At 37.7% G+C, this 22,222-nt stretch overlaps 1 long non-coding RNA gene across 2 annotated transcripts in view; it reads right to left on the minus strand.

Moving 5' to 3' along the window:
* Positions 1–20,240: 20,240 nt before the first annotated feature.
* LOC105377698 (uncharacterized) overlaps positions 20,241–22,222 on the minus strand; it is a 37,591-nt gene continuing 35,609 nt past the window's right edge. Inside the window, exons 1-3 of one of the 2 annotated variants that reach the window (XR_941160.2) lie at positions 21,269–21,340; positions 20,875–21,114; positions 20,241–20,381 (exon numbers count right to left, since the gene is read on the minus strand). This is a non-coding gene — a long non-coding RNA (uncharacterized LOC105377698). Of the gene's footprint in view, positions 20,382–20,874; positions 21,115–21,268; positions 21,341–22,222 lie in introns of those variants that run through there. The other variant, XR_001742958.1, reaches the window with a different exon arrangement.

The raw sequence follows: 22,222 nt of genomic DNA on the forward strand, positions 1-22,222 counted from the left end.
TGAGTTTTCATATATATATGTATATACTTGTATATATATGTATATAAATGTATATGTGTATATATACCATTTTTATATATGTTCATATTCATTTTGACTGCTTTAATTTTCAACACCAGAGTTTCCATTTGGTTCTTTTATAAATATAACTTATATTTCTTATTTAATATTCTCTATCTGATAAAACATTGTCTTCATACCTTCTTTTATTTATTTAAGCATGTTTTCTTTTTAACTTTTTTGGAACATATTATTATCAGCTACTTGGAAGTCTTTGACTGTTGAATATGATACTTTGTTTCTTTTATAGACAGTTCATGTTGTCTGTCTTTTTTTCCTCCTGTGTATGGGTTACACATTTCCGTTTCTTTTTATGTCTCATTGATTTTTTGACAACTAGGAATTGTTTGTAATATACTGCATAATAATATCCCCCTTTCAAGGTTTGTTTTTGCTCTCTCTTCACGTGTTTTGTGACTTGACTAGGCTATTTTAGTGACATTTATTTTCCTTCCAGTGTGAAGACTTACTGTTGCTTCTTAACAGCAGGCAGCCATTGGCATGTGCACAGTCACTCTGGGATGCTGGGATGACAGTGGTTTTAGCAGGGCCCTTTTCAACTGTCTCTCAGATCTCTGTCTTAAGATGGATGCTTCATTTTGTTATATACTGACCCATTAGGCCATGTTAATTATGAGTTGGCTGCTTTATTGGTTTTGATAATGCCTTGAGGCATAAATAGCCCAGCAGTCGAATCTAATAAAATCTGGACAGGGATAATTTATGAAGACAGTATTTGAGGTTTGTTCTGACCACAGAATAGCAGAATGGCTTTTTTTTTTTTTCTATCTCTTTCAATGATTCTCTCTGCTGAGGTAGGTAGCCTATTGTAAACCTTATTGCTGTTAATTAAGAGGAGCTGTTGTCTCTGAGAGTGCTCATAGGGTTTTCATTTCTTCACTCTGTTTCAAGTATTGTCAGTTCATTTGGTAAGAGCTTTGCAGTCTTTTGTTTTATGAACTGACTGTACTCATGAGCAAACTTTCAGAGACACTACTCTGGGTGCTGGGAGGACAGGAATCTCTGGTGTTCTTGGCTTGCCTTTCCTTGCATGAAAACTCTACCTAAGATTAAGCTGGAGGAAGTGTGGTTGGGGCCCCAATATTCTCATCCTTCCATGGCCAAGGTGGAACCACTGTCCTAAAAGTAGGGGTGTGGGGAGAAAGAGAGCCCTTAACTTCTTAGTTACACTCCGCATATATTTACCTTCTTTCTTCAACTCAAAGGTGCAGAAGAGAGAAGGGCTGGCAGCCTAACTCTCAATATGAGATATGGAAAGTCTTGATTGGGAATTGACAGGAGACAAAACCCCATCTTCTTGATACATGTTTCCCTACACTCATGTGGACTAGCACTTCCATCAGACTTAGCTGGGTTGGGGAAGTAGTAAGTAGGTCAGGGCTCGAATGCCACAAATTCTTGCTGTTCTTATTGAGTTTTAGATTTTCTTAAATAAGTATTTCTTTAATTCTGTATGTTCTTAGTACAATTTCCAGAGATTTTTTATATTGTTCTGTTGCTGCCATTGTTGTTTTGAATTTTCATCTGCATTGCTTGTTTTGCTGGGGAATGGGTACGTGGAACTCACCACATTGCCATTTTTGAACTCAGCTATATATTTTTGGTTTTTTTTTTCTTTTTAAATTGAGTATAGTATTTACATGTATGTAGAGCTGGAGGCTGGAACCTTCACATATTAGACCAGAAGAAGCTTAAAGAGTTTTAAACCTCAGACTTAGTTCTCACAGGCACTTGATGTTGCAATATGCATATATAAATCATTTTTGACAAGAGATGATATTAAGACAAAATAAGCACTACCTGCCAAAGGTTAATAGAGCTAGTTGTTATTAGAGTTAGGCCTACATCCCAGCAATTTTGACTCCTGGTAAAGCCACTGTTCATCTCTCTCTCTTTCTCTCTCTCTCACGCTCTATCTCCCTCTCTTATGGGTAAAAATAGAGATACATTTAGTTTGTGACATTGTATTAGTCTAATTAACATATATATTTCTCAAAAAGAAACAGCAAATCAAACTCATCAGCTAATACATAAGCAAGGATTATCTAACAGGAAGACACTTTGTGAAAGTATATAAAAAAAAAAGCAACTAAGATCAACTGCCCACAAAAGAGAAAGGAGGTTTTTGCTTCAACAAAAGCATGATGCACAGGGTGAAAGATTGGATATGGGAAGTAAGAATGGATGAAATAATTAATAAAGATTATGAATGTCACATTGGATGACCAGTAAAATTGCAATGACAGTGATAGAAATTGAGTTTTCAGGAGGCAATAAAGGTTAAAACAAAGGTGGTGGGTTTGGTACTAGAATTCTGCTTGATTATGAAGATTTAGGAAATTACCGCATACATACACACATATACAGTTATGCTCATTTCATATATTTCCCTCAATAATTCATATATAATTCATTTTCAAAATAAATTATGTTTTATCCATGTATGTATGTGTGCACACATGTGTTTCTATGTGTGCTTGAATATGGATGTACATTGTGCCTCTGTATAAATGTGTTGTGTGTATGTGTGTATTTGTGTAAATCTATATTATTATCCTGGAACAATAATGTGGTATTCCTCTATGGGATCCGGATTTGGATGCAGCTGAAATAAAATTCTGGATCCCTTGGCAAGCAAATGTGAATAAGTTATTTGAATTTATTTGGCTGGGTGCAGTGGCTCATGCCTGTAATTCCAGCATTTTGATAAGTCAAAGTGGGCGGATCACTTGAGGCCAGGGGTTCAAGACTAGCCTAGCCAACATGGCAAAACTCCATCTCTACTAAAAAATATAAAGTTAGCCAGGTGTGGTGGTGCGTGCCTGTAGTCCCAGCTACTCAGGAGACTGAAGCACAAGAATCACCTGCTAGAACCTAGGAGGCGGAAGTTGCAGTGAGCTGAGATCCTGCCACTGCCCTTCATTCTGGGTGACAGAGCGAGACTTGGTCTCAAAAAATATATATATGTATCTGCAGATGCCTTATACCAAATAGACTTACTTGTGAATAGTGCATATCAAACAAACACTTAGTGCAATTCATGACACAAAAGTGTTCAATACATATTAGTTTTTAGCTATATGATATAGTAAAGGTAAGGAATATGATGTCAATATATTTAAAATTACTGAACTAGCATAAAATATATCTTCATTGTTGAATGAGAATGGTTTATTTTTCATTTCCCTTTATTATCTATGAAAAAAGGAAAATAATCTTTATTACTTGACTTCTTATACATATATTTTAGAAATATTTATTTAAATTTATGCAGAAAGGACTGGGTGCAGTGGTCCATGCCTGTAATCCCAGCACTTTGGGAGGCTGAGGCAGGCAGATCACTTGAGCCCAGGAGCTCGAGACCAGCCTGGCCAACATGATGAAACCTCGACTCTACTAAAAATAAAAAAAATTAGCCAGGCATGGTGGTGTGCGCCTGTAATTCCAGCTACTTGGGAGGCTGAGGCAGGAGAATCACTTGAACATGGGAGGTGGAGGTTGCAGTGAGCAGAGATCACGTTACTGCACTCCAGCCTGGGCAATAGAGTGAGACTCTGTCTTTAAATAAGTAAGTAAAATAAATGTATGCAGAAAGAAATATCAGAGAATATTGAGTCAACTTAATGGTATTTACAACCCTTGGATGTGAAAGTAATTGGGCATATTTAAATAGATCCAAGTCATTTTCCTACTTGGTACCAGGCTCTTAAGTGTACATCTGTAGCCAGTGTTCCCAAAACTATGGTTCCCTAAATTCACAATGGGCCTTTCATGTGAAAGACTACAAAATTCTTAAGATTATCACTCCTGACAGTAGTAGTTTTTAAACATTTTAAGCTATGATATTATTTGAATCCTGAAGGTGTTTGTATACAATGGTAGCATTTCATGTAAATATACAATGATTATCTGGATATCTGTGGAAAATCTTTGTATTTTTTATGTCCAGACCTGTGTAGTTGTAAATTAATTGAATAATAAAATAATGCTGGTAAAGTTCTATTTAAAGTATTGGCTAGCAGGTACTGTTTTTTTATAATCAAGAGGGCTCAGATGACATTGATACACATGCTCAAATAGTTAGTTGCATGTGGTAGATTTAGATCTTATGATTACATTTCAAGGTTAGACATATAAAAACCCTACATTTGAAGGAAGTCTGGTTTAACTATGGTATTGAAGTTTGTCAGCTTTCTAAAGGACAATTTTCATCCTATTGGCTTATCTTTTGCCTTTTTTAAATAAAGGAGGCCAGAGTAACAGATATTATTTTTTTTGCATGGTTACATGAATATTACAGATTCATTATTTGCGTATTTATTGTTTTTTTCCTCAATCTTTAAAAGATTGAAGGCAAACTTACAGACTTGTTTTGATCATCAGTTATCCTCATACAACAGATAGCTGAACCATTCATTAGGCCATTCATTAGCTCTTGTATATAACACAAGAGCCGTTTTATTCTGAGACTCGTACGGTCATAGGCAAAACAATATAATTTTAAATTATAAAATGTTTCTCATCTCTCATCCAATTAACCTCATGTCACTGAAAACACAAAAGAATAATCATGGTGACTTGGGGATAATTAACTACGTTTTTGTTTGTTTATGCTCTTTTTAAAACAGTTCAGATTAAAGTGATTCTATGAAATTTCTCCTAAAAGTGAACATTTAGTATAAACTGAAACTCAATCTGGGGTTTTGGATGATGATTAATCTTAGATTCTTCTCTCTTCTCAAATGTATGCTATTAATAGCTTAATCAAGCATTTATCGGTATCATGGAATTAGATATAAATTTTTCTTCAATGATTAAAAGTAATTTTATTACTTCATTTTCACATTAAGTGTAATTTTTGCAGTAGAGTTTTTCAAGCTCTGTTAATAACATTTAATATAGCGCCCCTAGAGACAGAAAGAGGCTGCTGCCATCTTCGGAAGTCAGAACTTCTCCCTTCTTACATTTTACAGCCATTGGTATAACTCAACTACATAGAGAAATAAAGAATAAGGAAAATTAAATTTTCTTAAGATTGCATGTAAAAAAGAGTTCTTCAACTTACTATTTAATTGGCTAAAAACGCAAATGTCTACAGTTACTTGACAGGTTGTCTAAATAAACTGGCCTGCTGGAAATGGTGAACTAGAAGATGCTATCTCACTAAAGTGGCAGTAGGTCAGGTTCAAACTCACATCTCTAGCAAAAATGGAGTCCAGTATTAAAATAACTATAGATTGCTTAGAGGAATCCAAATATCTGGGTATGTGTGTACATGTATGTACGTTTGTGTGCGTTTGTGTGAGAATTCTCACAATTCACAAAGCATTGGCTTAAATTTTAAAAACACTTTACTACTTCCCTTTCTTCCTTCCCCCTCAAAAAAATCTATATTTGTTTCAGAGGCCACCATTTTGCAACCTGTATATATCATCATTATTATTGCAATGAGTATTAATATTATATTTTTTACCAATGTACCAATAATTTATTATAATCAAGGTTTATTTGGAAAATAATTCATAAAGTACTATACATTTATGATGGATTTATTAATAGTATTATTACAATGTTAACAGTCTACATAAATGTAGCTTGGTTTAATGGAAAGAGTAATCATTTTAGAAGTCAGTTCCAGTTTTAATACTCAGTTCTTCTACATATTGGCTACAGAAACTTAAGAAGTTTGATTGACTTTACCAAGCCTCAGATTCTCAATCTGTAAAATAATAATACTATTTACATTTCAGGATCATTGTGAAGAATAGAAATGATGCAGTAATAAAGCCTTCTCATAATGTTTGACTTAAAATGGAGACTGTATGGTACATCTATTCAATGACACATTCCACAATCATTAAAATCATTTTTTAATGAAAGCTAGCAACTATCCTATTTTACTTAATACACACAAAAAAATCCTTAATCATTGATATATTTTGGATATCCCAAATATCATGTTGAATTGCAACCTCCAGTTTTGAAAGTGAGGCCTGATGGGAGGGTATTGGGTCATGGAGGTGGATCCCTTATGGCTTGGTGGTGTTCTCATGATGGGAAGTTCTCGTGAGATCTGCTTACTTAAAAGTATGGCACATGCCCCCATCTTTTTTGTTCCTACTTCCACCAGGTGAGATATCTGCTCCCACTTCCTCTTCCACCATGATTTTAAGCTTCCTGAAGCCTCCATCAGAAGCCAAGCAGATGGTGGCACCATGCTTCCTACACAGCCTGCAGAACCATAAGCAAATTAAACCTTTTTCTTATAAATTACCCACTCTTAAGGTGTTTCTTTATAGCAATGCAAAAAGAGCCTAACACAGAAAATTGGTACTTGCTGTAAAGATACCCAAAAAATGTTGAAGCAGCTTCGCAACTGGGTTAACAGGCAGGGATTGGAAGAGTTTAGAGGGTTCAGAAGAAGACAGGAAAAATTTGGAACTTCTTAGAGACTGGTGAAATGTTGTGATCAAAATGCTGGTTGTGATATAAACAATGAATGAGGTCTCAGATGAAAATGAGGAATGTATTAGGAGCTGGATCAAGGATAACCTTTGTTATGCCTTAGCAAAGGACCTAGTTGTATTGTGTCCTCACTCTTGGGACCTGTGAAAGTTTGAACGTGGTAGTGATGACCTTGGGTATTTGTTGGAAGAAATTTCTAAGCACCCAAGCATTCAAGGTGTGACCCCACTGCTTCTAAGAGCCTATGCTCTGATGCAGGCAAAGAAATGACATAAATCTGGAACTTATATTTTAAAGGGAAGCGAGTCTATTAATTTGAAAAACTTGCAGGCTGGCCATGTGGTAGAAAAGAAAAGCCCATTTTCAGGGGAAGAAGTCAAGCAGGCCGTGGAGCCACCACTTGCGAGAAATTTGCATAACTAAAAAAAAAAAAAAAAAGCCAAGTGCTGATATCCAAGGCAATGGGAAACATGATTTGAAGGCTTTTGAGAAATCTTCTAGGCAACCCCTCCCATCACAGGCCCTAGGAGGAAAGAATGGCTTTGTCTAGAAAGGTAAAATGGTTTCAGAAGTCAGGGCTCCACAGCCTCAGTATACTGCTCAGGACCCAGGACATAAGACACAGCACGGGCTCAAGAGACTGCTCCCCACATCCAGGCAACTCCTGCATTAGCCTTGGTTCAGAGGACCCCAGGTACAGCTCAGGCTGCAGGTGGGGTGTAAGCCACTGTAAGCCTTGGCAGCTCCCATGTGGTATTAAGTCTGTGGGCACACAGAATGCAAGAGTAAAAGAGGCTTGGCAGCCTCCACCCAAATTTCAGAGGATGTGTGGAAAAGCGTAGGTGCCCAGGCAGAAGCCTGCTACAGGGGTGGAGCCCACACAGGGAAACCCTACTAGGGCAGTGCCAAGGGGAAATGTGGGGTTGGAGACCCAAGACAGAGTTCTCAGCGGGGCACTGCCTAGTGGAGCTGTGGGAAGGACTCCACCATCCTCCAGACCCCAGAATGTTAAAGCCACTGGAAGCTTGCACCCTGCACCTGGAAAATCTGCAAGCACTAAATTCCAACCTGTAAGAGCAGATGTGGGAGCTAAACCCTGCAGAACCACAGGGTCAGACCTGCCCAAAGCCTTGGGAACCCACCCCTTGAAACAGTGTGTCCGGGATGTGGGACATGGACTCAAAGGAGACTATTTTGGAGCTTTAGGATTTAACAGCTGCCCTGCTGGGTTTCAGACTTGCATGGGGCCTGTAGCCCTTTCTTTTGACTGATTTATCTCTTTTGGAATGGGAATGTTTACCTAATGCCTATATCCCCACCTGATCTTGTAAGTAAATGATTTGTTTTTGATTTTTCAGGCTCATAGGTAAAAGGAACTTGCATTGTCTCAAATGAGACTTTAGAATTTTAAGTTAATGCTGGAATAAGCTAATAATTTGGGGGATTATTGGAAAGAGATTCTTATATTTTGCAATGTGAGAAGGACAGAGATTTGAGGGGCCAGGGTTGGAATTGTATAGTTTGGATGCCCCCTCCAAGCCTCATGTTGAATTGTAATCTCAGTGTTGGAGGTGGGGTACGGGACATGATTAGATCATGGGAGAGGATGTCTCATGGCTTGGTGCTGCCCTAATGATAGTGAGTGAGTACCCGTGAGATATGGTTGTTTAAAACTAGGGCACCTCCCCTCCCATCTTTCTTGTTCCTGCCATGTGAGATGCCTGCTCTCTCTTTACCTTCTTCCATGATTGTAAGCTTCCGGAGGCTATCACCAAAAGCTGAGCACATGTTGGCACCATGCTTCCTGCACAGCCTGCAGAAATGTGAGCCAGTTAAACCCTTTCCTTATAAATTACACAATCTCAGGTATTTATAACAATGCAAGAATGGCCTAACACCATAATATTAGATATTCTAAGTCCACAATAAAAAATAATAGGCCCAAGTTTTACACACACACATTCACCGTCCATCCTTCCATGCATGCATTCATCCATGCACCCATGTAATATTCATTCATTCCTTAACAAATGTGTATTAATTGCAAACTGTATGCCAAGTACTGTGCTAGATAAAGCTGACTTAAGCACAGAAATACATGCTAGTCTCTATTTGCTGTAGAAATTTTGAGAAAACATGGTGACTGAGATAAAATAAGGAATGAGAAAGGAGTGGATGAGGGGTGCAATTTTGATTAGAGGAGATGACATCTAAACCAAAATATGAAAATGTAGAATTTTCCAGCAAAAGGAAGAGTTAAGGTAAGAGTGTCTTGATATATAAAGGTTCCAGGGGAGATGGAAGCTCCAGAGATTAGTTCATTAGAGAAACAGAAGGAAGGCTGACAGGTATGTATTATGTGGCAGTTATAAATTATCTCAATAAACTTTCCTAGTGTGTCTGAAGCTGCCTCACATATCTGAATCAACAATCCACTATCAGTAAAATTACCTGGACATACCTTGCTTTTATCTTTTCTATTTATTTCTTTCCTAATTTTCTAATTCCTTTTCTGAACATTTGTCATGAGGAAATAGACAACATTAAATTATTCCAGAACTAATATAATAACATTAGTATAGACAGTAATAATTATTTGGTAAATATGTGATTAAATGAAATAAACAGTAAAATTGGGACACAGACCAACTGTTAAAATGAGAGGAGTTAAGTAAAGGACTCTAAAGAAGAGAATAAAACGTAAGCATCAATGAAAATGAAACACTCTTCATGAATGCCTCAGGTTGAAACATTTCTAGACTAAGGCCATTATCAATAAGACTTGTATTTACCATAATAAACAATAATACACATACTCTGCCTCATGTCAGGAGTAAGTGGTCTTCCTTCCTATGTCTCAATTCCATTTAATAATTTTTTTAAGGAAATGGAATCACTACTTTTAGTACCCATAAGTAATAATGTTTTTAAATTGTGTGGTACAATAATTTAGTGTAAGTCAATCAGCACATACTCATATCCAAACATAATGCTAGCATTTTGTTTTATTTCTTCATTCACAATTTCGGCACCTATGATGCACAAGACGATCTGCCTAGGATGACAATGTAAATACAAATAACATAAAATCCCTACTCAAAAGACTCCATAAGGAAGATCAGCAAGAATATTTATAATGAAGATGGAGAATTGGTATAGTAGAAATATGTCCTAAGTGTTCTAGAAGCTAAAAGCAGAAAGGATTAAACTATGGGGGAAGTCACAGATGGTTTCTCAAAAATAAAGAGCAACTTATTAGGGCCTTAAAAATGCATATGAGTTCATAAGGTGGTTGTGTCAATATAGTAGAGAGATCTTTGGCTTTTGATATAGAAGTAGAGGACAAAACAATTGATTATATGTAAATACCAAAATATGATGTATCAATTACTGTGTGTTATTGGCATTCAAGATGGACAGTCAACCATATGAACTATTGTTACTAAAGAAGGCTTTGAAGAGAAGAAAATTTAATCTGTGGCTTGGAAGAAATTCTAGGATATGAAGAACATAAAAAAGCCATTGAAGATTATATAACTTGTATAAAATGAAAGAAAGATTCAGTTATGTAACAGAGACTACTTTGGCCCACATGCTCCTTTTGTTTTTTCCCAATTCTACAAATATGCTGTTCACATTGTCACTGAAATCCAACTCTTCCATTCATGCACTAGATGCCATGTTCTTTTGCCTATTCAAAGATGTGGATCCAGTGGTTTACTCACATCATCCTGACACCATAATTTCTTCTCTCTCTTCTAGATATTTTCCCTCAGCTTACACATACATTGTAATTTCTACCGTCATATAAAGCAAATCCTCTCTTGACCTCATTTTCCTCTCCATCTCACACCAATATTTCATTCTTATTGACATCAAAACTCTCTGAACATTTTATCTACTCTCTTTTTCCAATGTCTTCCCATTCACTTTTTATTGATTCCTTCCTAACAGTCTGTGGTCTCCAATCCTTCATTACATGTGCTGTCGTCAAAGTAACCAGTAACCTTCATATGGTCAAATACAATACTTAAGCCTCAGACTTCATCATTCTTGAACTCTCTGCACATTTAACATTTCATCCATCTTGACTGAATAATTTTCCTTACTTGACTTTCAGGACTCCACATACACCTAGGTTTTCTACTACCTCACTTGTCATTCTTTCATCTTCTTTGCTTATTTCACCTCACATCCCCAACCACTAAACAAAGCTCAGTTTTAAGCTGTCTATGCTTATTGTTATATTGATTTGTGTAGTTTTATTATTTCAAAATACTATCTAAAAATAATATCTCCCAAATTTATTTTTCTAATCCAAACTGCTCCTATGAACTTTCATTCTTAAATGTTCAACGGTTTATCAGACATCTATCTCTACTTGTATGTACAATAATAGACATCTCAAAATTATAGTATATTGATCTAAGTTTTTCCTCTCCTCATTCCCCCACATTTACTCCTCACCCAATCTTATCCATTTCAGTTAATGGAAATGTAATCCTTCTTGTTGCTAAGGCCAAACCTTTGGATTCATTCCCGACTTTCAATCAACCAGCATTATCTATTGGCTCTATTTTCCAATATCTTCAGAAAACTCATTACCTCTACTACCGCTCTGGTCCAAGTCAAGAGTATCTCTTGCCTGGGTAATGTCCATAGCCATCTAACTGTTTTGCTATCCTCAGCTACCCCACAGTTTCTTAATAATGAAACAGTTAATTATTTACACAGAAGTCTAGTGATTTTTTGAAATGTACCTCAAAACATATCATTTCTAAACCATCAATGACTGCCTATTTTACCCAGAGTCAAAGCCAAAACCCATTCAATGACTTAAAATATCCTACATGATCTCATCTCGCATTGCATAAGGGTATATTCAAGCTCATTCCTCTGCCTGGAACATTCTTCTTCAATATATTTGATATTCATGATATCAATTTCATTCTTCATCTCAGTCAGGGCTTAGGCCAAATATCATGTTTCCATTGAGTTCTTTTCTGCCCTTCATTTTGAAAATTCCCTACATTTCCTTTTTTCCCACACTATATTCCTCTATACCACTGATCATTATCTACACATCAGTATCTATATTTATAGCTATCTACCTATATAACATTTATTTGTTAATTATTTCTTTTCCTAAAGACAGGGAATTCTTTTTGTCTGTTTGATTAGCTACTGAGTCTCTGGTACCCAGAAAAATGTCCTACATCAGGTAAATATTCAATGAACATTTTAAATGAGTTAATGAATAAATGAATGGATCGGTTTTACTGAGGTTAAAATACTGTATAACATTAAAATTATAGTGGAATATTATGAAAATTTTCAAAATTACTTAGGTATAAATTACCTATATAAGAGTAGAGGATGCAAATACTAAAACTGATAGAGAGTGTGTGAAGTATGGAAAACAGAACTGTGTCCCTGCCCAGTTAGGTAGTGAAAGGGTCATATCACCTATTTTGCCTTCTTTTCCCGTCACAGCTGTCTCTCACAGAAGCAGCAGTAAGGTAGATGCTTTTATACAGTTCCTGGACATAGGGTAAAATAATATTAAACCACATTGTGAGTAATTTATGCTGTTTTTATTATCTGTGATTCCTCCTTTTACAAATCTTGCTTTTTTAACTAAGACAGTGAATCCTTCTGACTCATAATCTTCAAGAAGCAGCCATATTTATAGATAAGGTTTAACAATATTTTGGTTTTACTATACTAATACGATGTATATTTTCTTTTCAGAGCAAAATGTGTCTTCTCTTAAAATACATTTAATTAATAAATTGGTAAATTGATGTAAAAAGAAATATTTAAAATTAACAAGGTTTTGATGTGCAAATATGGCAAAATAATGAAAGTGATACATGAATAAGTGTACATTTTAAAATTTTAATTGAGTAAGCAAATGACTTAAATTTGAGAAAATGGCAAGGTTTTATCCATCCAGGATTAGAACATTTACTCAATAATATTGTCTTAGCCTTATCATAAAACTTTAAAAAAGATTGGCTTGAAATAAAATCTCTTTAACCTCCCTATAAATTCCTTGAGGCACAGCAAGTAGGCTATTAGAATTAGTTAATACATACCTAATTAATGAGTCTGATACTTGAACATCTGCATATTGCTCCTCATTTATTTTCCTTCTCGTGCAAAAACTTTCTCAACAGTCATATTATATATAATAGAGCCAATTAGTAGAGAAGCCTGAACTTCTTGTGAGAAGACATGGTTAGCTTAACATTAAACCTGATTTTCTTACATTATCTCTTTCCATTTCTCTTTTTCCACTGCCATTCTAAGTACAGTAACCATGAGTTACATATTAAAACAAAGAGCCAAGGTCAAGCTATGACAAAAATAATAGGACTAGGTTTGGGAGGTCATTTACTAAATGCCAGCCCTGGGGTGACTAGGGCACTTGAACAAAACTTCCAGAAATTGAAATCATTTCCAGATGTCTCCTCTACACAACTTTACTTGGAGGTGGATAGCTATCAATCACTGTCCCTCATTTGTTAATATGGTCTCACTTCCTCTAATTCCTTTCTGATACCATTTCTCCTTTCAGAAATTGCCACCATTGCTCTCCACCGATTCGTGCTTCAAACCCCAAATAAAATCCCAATTTTCAATGAAGGCTTCTTAGATTATTGTAGCCACCATCAGTCTCTTGTAGTGCTCTGTTAAATGTCATTTTCTCAAACACACAACTAACATTTGGTTTTTAAAATGGCCATTTACCAGTTTTCTGTTGCACAAAATTAGCTGTTTATTATACACAATCTCGTCCTCAATAATCATTTTATATATTTAAAATGTTCTTTTTGGGGGCTACAGGTGGTATTATATTCCTTTTAATAACTACAGGGCCTAGAATACATATGTAGATACTTATACATTTCATGATTTTGTAAACCATTTGGAACAGAAATGTCAACAACTTACATGTTCTAATTGTGTAAGAGAATGCCTGCATGTGTTTTGAAATTTCTGCTCTTGCTGATGAAAGGCTTGCATTTAATAAATATCCAGCTGTGACAGCTAAAATTAACACATCTTTCTGTAACATTAAGTAGAATGCTCCATAAGGCTGCACTGGAGTGGAATGTAGAATTTTCCAATTTTAGAACCTTTAGGAAAATAGGCCACTTTTTTAGCTGCAATTGATGGGGACATCAGTGTGCCAAACATCATAGGTCTCTGTTTTGCTAAATTTATAAATATTATGTAATTATCATTGTAGTAATGAAAGTTATCATTCACTGTAGGCTTACTGGGATGCTGGGCACCTAAGATATTTAAATGTGTTATGCCAACTCTGTGATGTAAGCATGGTTGTTACCCAAAATCTACAAATCAGGAACTGAGGCCCATATAGTCTGTAAAAGACATAGAAATAGAACTCAGTCTGGTCCATTTCAAAGTTTACGCATTGAAGCATTAAGATATTTTTCAGTTAAAACAACAGTAAGAACAAAGTAATCACAGTGAATGGATATAATCCAGAGTCACCCATTAGGTCCAAATCAATTAGCTTAAACCCCACCTTAGGAAAGCGTACCCCATACACATAACCCCCATAGCCAGAAACCTCTCAGTCTCAGGGAAGGCCTCCTTTCCCTTGACCTGCTGTTTATTTCTAATACTTTCTCTGCCTTGGCGGATCCTATTTTGTTCCTCTTCTCTAGTACTTGATTTTCTGCAGCAGTACTTGGTCTCATCTATGTCCCCTTTTGCTGGATTTCAGATACATATCTCAATACCCTTCCTTACCGATATATCTATGGTATATCCCTACTGAGTAGAAACCAACTGTCCCCATATATTCTGGTGGTCATAATTCCTCAAACTGGTATAACACCTAGATTGCTACTTTTCCATGAGGAGGCCTCTATCTGTTCATCAATCCAACAGACATTCTACTAGGTTTCTTCTATGTATCATAGTTTCAGCAATTGTGAAAGACATAGAATGTTACCACGGAGCTGCAACGATCATGGAATCTACACTATGTATTTTGAATTGTGAAGGTTTCCTGTTGCTGTTGTAACAAATTGACACAAATTTAGTAGCTGAAACATCATTAGTTTATTACATTACAATTCTGTAGTCTGGGAGTTTGGCATGAGTCTCCTTGGCTAAAAATCAAGGTGTAAGCATTACTCTCTGAAGGTTCTGTGGGAGCTTCTGTTTCTTTACCTTTTCAGCTTCCAGAAGCTGCCCACATTTCTTGGTGTGTGATCTTCTTCCTCCACCTTCAAAGCTGTCAGCTTTGCATCTGTCTGTGTCTTTCTTACGTAGTAACATCTCCCTATAACTCTCCTCTTCTGTATTCCTTTTCTACATTTTAAATCCTTTGTGTTCACTTTGGGAGGCTGAGGCAGGTGGATCACTTGAGGTCAGGCATTCAAGACCAGCCTGGCCAACATGGTGAAACCCCATCTCTACTAAAAATATAAAAATTAGCCGGGGTAGCGGCGTGTGCCTCTAATCCCAGCTACTAGGGAGGCTGAGGCAGGAGAATCGCTTGAACCCAGGAGGCGGAGGTTGCAGTGAGCCAAGATCAGGCCACTGCACTCCAGCCTGGGTGACAGAGCAAGACCCTCTCTCAAAAATAAATAAATAAATAAATAAATAAATAAATAAAATACCTTTGTGTTTATACCAGGTCAGTTGGATAAATCATGATAATCTCTCTATTTCAAGGTCAGTTGGTAGCAATCTTAATTTTATCTGCAACCTTAATTCAATTTTTCCATGTAACCTAACATATACATGGATTCCAGAGATTAAAAAAAATACATTTCATGTTTGGAGGGGTAGCATTATTCTGTTTATCACAGAAGGTGAAAAGGACATCAGAGAAAGAGAGATCTATGAGAAGCAAAGCACAGAGTATGGAAAGCACAGATAACGTATGGGGAATAGTTGTAAATAGAAGTCTTACCTCATGTTTCATGAAGACATCTTGCAAATGTAGATAACTAACAAGATTGCAAGAGCATATGAGCATTTGTTTCCAGTGGTTTCATTTTTCAAAGTAAGTTATAAAATATTAATAAATAAATAACTATGACAGACAAAGGGGAGCATATAAGTAAGGGGAAGATGAGAAGGAGAAGAGAGAGAAATGAAAGGCCTCAAATGCTAATAACCCAAATTGAAATTAGCAGATTCACTTCAGCCTAAAATATCAGTCCTGACATTTTTCTTGTAGCTTCAGCACATCCATTCAACTCTGAGAAGGTAGATTCTCTTCAACTTTCACTGAGGAGTAGGGTTGGGGTGTAGGAGGGGCTAGTTAGAGAGATGCCAGCTTTAGCCCTCCCAATGTCCAGGCACAGAACATTTGTTTTAGGTCCAATTAAAGGTCTTTGGCTGGAGTCAAGAAATAGACTATTAGGCTCTAAGACAAACAGTGTGAAATTATATTTGTGATGAACCATAGATTTTTCCGAGTACTTTTGGTCAAAGATTATGTAATAATTTTTTATTATATAATATTTTTTAAAATTTTATTTAAATTTAAATTTTTAAAAAATTTTATTTTAGGTTCAAGGGTACATGTGCAGGTTTGTTATGTAGGTAAATTGCATGTCATGGGGGTTTGTTGTACAGATTATTTTGCCACCAAGGTAATGAGCATAGTACCAAATAGGTAGTTTTTTTCAATCCTCTGACTCCTACCACCCTCTACCTCCAAGTAGCCCCCAGTGTCTGTTGTTCCTTTCATTATGTCTATGTTTACTCAATATTTAGCTTCCATTTATAAGAGAACATGTGGTGTTTTACTTTTTGTTCCTGCATTAATTCACTTAGGATCCCAGCCTGCAGTTCCATGCATGTTGCTGCAAAGGACCATGACTTCATTCTTTTTTATGGCCGTGTAGTATTCCATGATATATATGTACCACATTTTCTTCCTCCAGTCTACCATTGATGGGCATTTAGATTGATTCCATGGCTCTGCTACTGTGATAGAGCTGCAATGAATATATGAGTGCCTGTGCCTTTATGGTCGAATGATTTATATTCCTTTGGGTATGTACTCAACAATAGGATTGCTGGGTTGAATGGTAGTTCTATTTTAAGTTCTTTGAGAAATTGCAAACTACTTTCCACAATGGCTGAATTAATTTACATTCCCATGACCTGTGTATAAGCATTCCCTTTTCTCCACAACCTCAACAGCATCTGTTATTTTTTTACTTTTTAATAATAATCATTCTGACTGGTGTGAGATGGTATTTCATTGGGGTTTTGATTCGCATTTCTCTAAAGCAGCAGTTTCCAACATTTTGGGCACCAGAGACCAGTTTTGTGGATGACAATTTTTCCATGGATGAGGTGGGATGGTTTCAGGATAAAATTGTTCCACCTCAGATCATCAGGCATTAGATTCTCATAAGGAGTGGAGTGCACAACCTAGATTCCTTGTGCAGTTCACAACAGCATTCATGCTCCCATAAGAATTTAATGCCACAGACTTCTAGAGGTCCACAGCCCAGTGGTTGGGGACCCCTGCTTTAGAGATTAGTGATGTTGAGCATTTTTTCATATCCTTGTTGGCCACATTATGACTTGTTTTGAGAAGTGTTTGTTCATGTCCTTTGCACACTTTTTAATGGCATTGTTTTTTGCTTGTTCCTTTTTTTTTTTTTTTTTTTTTTGAGATGGTAACTCACTCTGTCTCCCAGGCTGGAGTGCAGTGGTGTGACCTTGGCTCACTGCAATCTCCACCTCCCAGGTTGAAGCAATTCTCCTGCCTCAGCCTCCCAATAGCTGGAATTACAGGCACCACACCTGGCTAATTTTTGTAGTTTAGTAGAGACAGGGTTTCACCATGTTGGTCAGGCTGGTCTCGAGCTCCTGACCTCAGAAGATCCACCCGCCTTGGCTTCCCAAAGTGTTAGGATTACAGGTGTGAGCCACTATGCCTGGCCCTTTGCTTGTTAGTTAAAGTTCCTTATAGATTCTGGATGTTAGACCTTTGTCAGCTGCATAGATTGCAAATGTTTTCTCCCATTCTGTAGGTTGTCTGTTTACTCTGTCAGTAGTTTCTTCTCCTGTCCAGAAGCTGTTTAGTTTAATTAGGTCCCATCTGTGAATTTTTGTTTTTGTTGCAATTGCTTTTGGCATCTTCATCACAAAATCTTTGCCAAGGCCTATGTTCAGAACAGTATTTCCTAGGTTATCTTCCAGGAATTTTAAATGTTTAAGTTTTACATTTAAGTTTTTAATCAATCTTGGGTTGATTTTTGTAAATAGTGTAAGGAAGGCATCCAGCTTCAATCTTCTGTATATGGCTAGCCAGTTATCCCCAAACTATTTATTGAATAGGAAGTCTTTTCCCCATTGCTTGATCTTGTCACCTTTATTGAGGATCAGATGGTTTTAACTGTGCAGCTGTATTTCTGGGCTCTTTATTCTGTTCCATTGGTCTATGTGTCTGTTTTTATACCAGTACCATGCCTTTTTGGTTACTGTAGCCTTGTAGTATAGTTTGGAGTCAGATAACGTGATGCCTCCAGCTTTTTCTTTCTGTTTAGAATTGCTTTGGGTTTTCAGGCTCTTTTTTGGATCCATATGAATTTTAAAATAGCTTTTTTTAGTTTTGTGAAGAATGACATTGGTAGTTTTATAAGAATAGCATTGAATCTGTAAATTGCTTTGGGTAGTACGGCCATTTTAACAATATTGATTTTTCCCATCAATGAGCACCAAGAATCTTTAAGAACTCATTTCCCACTGCTCACCATGGAAAGAAACTTCAGGTATTACTTACAGTAGTTTTTTTTTTTTCCTTTCCTTTCCTCTTTAAAATAAAATCACCTAAATTTTCAAATTTGAAGACTTCAGCAAGCTTTATTTCCTCCAGGAAAATTCTCCAAACTCTATTTTTAGTCAGTCGCCTACATCTTACCATTTAGCATTTGACTGTATACCAATATCTATTATTCCATAAGTTTTCTGCAAGCTTAGAATGATTTTCCAATTTCATTATGAGAGGTGACAGCGTGCTGGCAGCCCTCGCAGCCCTCACTCGCTCTCGGTGCCTCCTTGGCCTTGGTGCCCATTCTGGCCATGCTTGAGGAGCCCTTCAGCCCACCACTTCACTGTGGGAGCCCCTTCCTCGGATGGCTGAGGCCAGAGCTGGCTCCCTCAGCCTGCGGCGAGGTGTGGAGGGAGAGGCACGGGCGGGAACCGGGGCTGCACACAGTGCTTGCGGGCCAACTAGACTTCTGGGTGGGCGTGGGCTTGGCAGGCCCCACACTCGGAGCAGCCGGCTGGCCCCACCGGCTCCGGGTAGTGAGGGGCTTAGCACCTGGGCCAGCAGCTGCGGAGGGTGCGCCAGGTCCCCCAGCAGTGCCAGCCCACTGGCGCTGCACTCGATTTCTTGCCAGGCCTTAGCTGCCTCCCCGTGGGGCAGGGCTTGGCACCTGCAGCCCGCCATGTCTGAGCCTCCCCTCCCCCTGCCATGGGCTCCTGCACGGCCCAAGCCTCCCTGACGAGCGCTGCCCCCTGCTCCACAGTGCCCGGTCCCATCGACCACCCAAGGGCTGAGGAGTGCAGGCGCACGGTGCGGGACTGGAAGCAGCTCCACCTGTGGCCCCAGTGCGGGATCCACTGGGTGAAGCCAGCTGGGATCCTGAGTCTGGTAGGGACTTGGAGAACCTTTATGTCTAGCTAGGGGATTGTAAATACACCAATCGGCACCCTGTATCTAGCTCAAGGTTTGTAAACACACCAATCAGCACCCTGTGTCTAGCTCAGGGTTTGTGGATGCACCAGTCAGTACTCTGTATCTAGCTAATCTGGTGGGGACTTGGACAATCTTTATGTCTAGCTAAGGGATTGTGAATACACCAATCGGCACTATGTATCTAGCTCAAGGTTTGTAAACACACCAATCAGTACCCTGTGTCTAGCTCAGGGTTTGTGGATGCACCAATCGGCACTCTGTATCTAGCTAATCTGGTGGGGACTTGGAGAATCTTTATGTCTAGCTAAGGGATTGTGAATGCACCAATCGTCACTCTGTATCTAGCTCAAGGTTTGTAAATGCACCAATCAGCACTGTGTGTCTAGCTCAGGGTTTGTAAATACACCAATGGATACTCTGTATCTAGCTAATTTAGTGGGGACATGGAGAACTTTTGTGTCTAGCTCAGGGATTGTAAATGCACCACTCAGCATCCTGTCAAAACGGATCAATCAGCTCTCTGTAAAACAGACCAATCGGCTCTCTGTAAAATGGACCAATCAGCAGGATGTGCGTGGGGCCAGATAAGAGAATAAAAGCAGGCTGCCCCAGCCAGCAGGGGCAACCCGCTTGGGTCCCCTTCCACACCGTGGAAGCTTTATTCTTTCGCTCTTTGCAATAAATCTTGCTACTGCTCAATCTTTGGGTCCACACCACCTTTATGAGCTGTAACACTCACCGAGAAGGTCTGCAGCTTCACTCCTGAAGCCAGTGAAACCACGAACCCACTGGGAGGAACGAACAACTCCAGATGCACCGCCTTAAAAGCTGTAACACTGACCGCGAAGGAATGCAGCTTCACTCCTGAGCCAGCGAGACCACGAACCCACCAGTAGGAAGAAACTCCAAACACATCCGAACATCAGAAGGAACAAACTCCGGACACGCTGCCTTTAAGAACTGTAACACTTACCGTGAGGGTCTGCGGCTTCATTCTTGAAGTCAGTGAGACCAAGAACCCGCCAATTCTGGACACAATTACATGCTCTTCAAAGGCCACTTTTAACAAATCTTTATGTCTTCATAGTGATCAGTGTATAATAAATATAGGTGGGACCATCTGAAGGAACCAAGTCAGAGACACTTCTCTTAAGTCAATTAATAATTCAAATGTGTTTAAATTTTTTTGGTCATTGTAATTAGTGCAAGCATTTATGATCATATATATTATGCCTATGTGTGCTTAAGTCTCACCTAATTGCAATAAATAAGAAAAATCGTAATACCACAATTTGTATGTGTCAGAAGACATTTATTGCAACTATTTTCTATATGTTTTCTGATTGAATCTTCATAAAAGCCTTAGATCACAGATCATTGTGAAGATTAGGTGAAGGAATATATATATATATATATATAAAGTGTTAGGCATAGAGTCTGACCAATAATCAGCTTTCAAAAACTGTTAGCTAAAATAAAAAAAATCTATATTTTTCATCAAAACAACTAGAGTTAAATATTTTTAATGCCTCAGTGTTTTGTTATTTAATAAAAATGAATAGCCCCTCAATAACCAGGAAGATATTATTAACAGCATAGTAAGTTATTCTGACCTTGTGTGGCTCATTTTCTTCCCCGTGGACTCTTCACAGTATGCACAGGCATTTGTTAACATTTCCCAAGAGTAGACAGCTTGCTTAATTTTCTTCCTATGGCATCACAATTATTCCATAACTAGAATTTTTAAGTGAGGTGTCTTGAGTGACTGAGTTATAACGACCAGACATTTCAAAGCGTCCACCAAAGCAATATGGGCTGTGCGGAAAGCTGAAGGCATTAATGTAATGGCCTCCCTGTGGAGAGAAGAACAACATGAGAAAGAGTCACATTTTCTTTGTGTTTTCAAATAAAGCATCCAATTTTCAGAACTCCAGAACACTAGAGAAGGATGTCATTCTTTTGATTTGGAGTATAGAACAATTGGGCAGTGGAAGCACGCTGACATACCTCAGGTGGGTTCATGTCAGAGAGACCTGCTGAAGAGCTGTAGGAAGTCAGGCGATGAATACAAAACCTGAGGCAAACAGCAATTGAGTCTGAGTATCTTTGAAAAAAATGCTGCATATTATAGCAAAACTTGAAAGAAAATAGCTATCTCTTTAATTTTTGAAATTAACTACATTAATTGCCATTATAATTTATCAATCATCAAAGCCAGCTTGTGGAATAGAGCTTGGGGTGCTGTTCTTCAAAGTGCTTCAGCAATTCTCAGGATTTAGCATTGCCTTAAGCCAAAATCACCATAGAGGTCCCACCTGCTATTTTAGTGTAAACTTAAAATATTAATGGTGCTGAAGAGCAATATTGCCTTTGACAGCCATCTATCATGTACTCCCTTATTTTATTGTCCAGAGAATTGAAATACTTCAATACTGAAATGGAAAACAGTGGAGAAGGAAACCAGATTTTTCACTCCTTTCCACTCCACATTTTTCATGAAAGTTGAACTATCAAACTCTTTTTCCAGCCCAGGCTTCGTTATGACCCCCTGGGTACATATCATGCTCTGAATCTGGTTCCAACATGTTCCTGACAACTCTTTCTCTTCTGGCTCTGCAATCTAGGGCAAAATTTCAGAAGCTCATTTGATACTTTTTATAAGGAAAGCAATCATTTCACATAGTAGGACAGCTACCTGGGTAATAAAATACTCAACTTCATATATTTAAGTACAATGATGCTAGTATTTACATGACCAGGGAAGAAATAGTTTCTTATTTTTTAGCTTGTTTTGACACCCTATTTTACTTAGTTTTATGGCACTATTAGCTAAATTCATAAGTGTGCCAATAATAACAATAGTAATAGTTGAGAAACCACTCTTTAAATAAAAAGACATAAAATAACTAACCAGTCCAACTTGGGTGAAAAATGTTACAATGTGTCATCTGTTGATTTAAT

Source organism: Homo sapiens, chromosome 5, assembly GCF_000001405.40.
Source record: "Homo sapiens chromosome 5, GRCh38.p14 Primary Assembly".
Classification (NCBI taxonomy): Eukaryota; Metazoa; Chordata; class Mammalia; order Primates; family Hominidae; genus Homo; species Homo sapiens.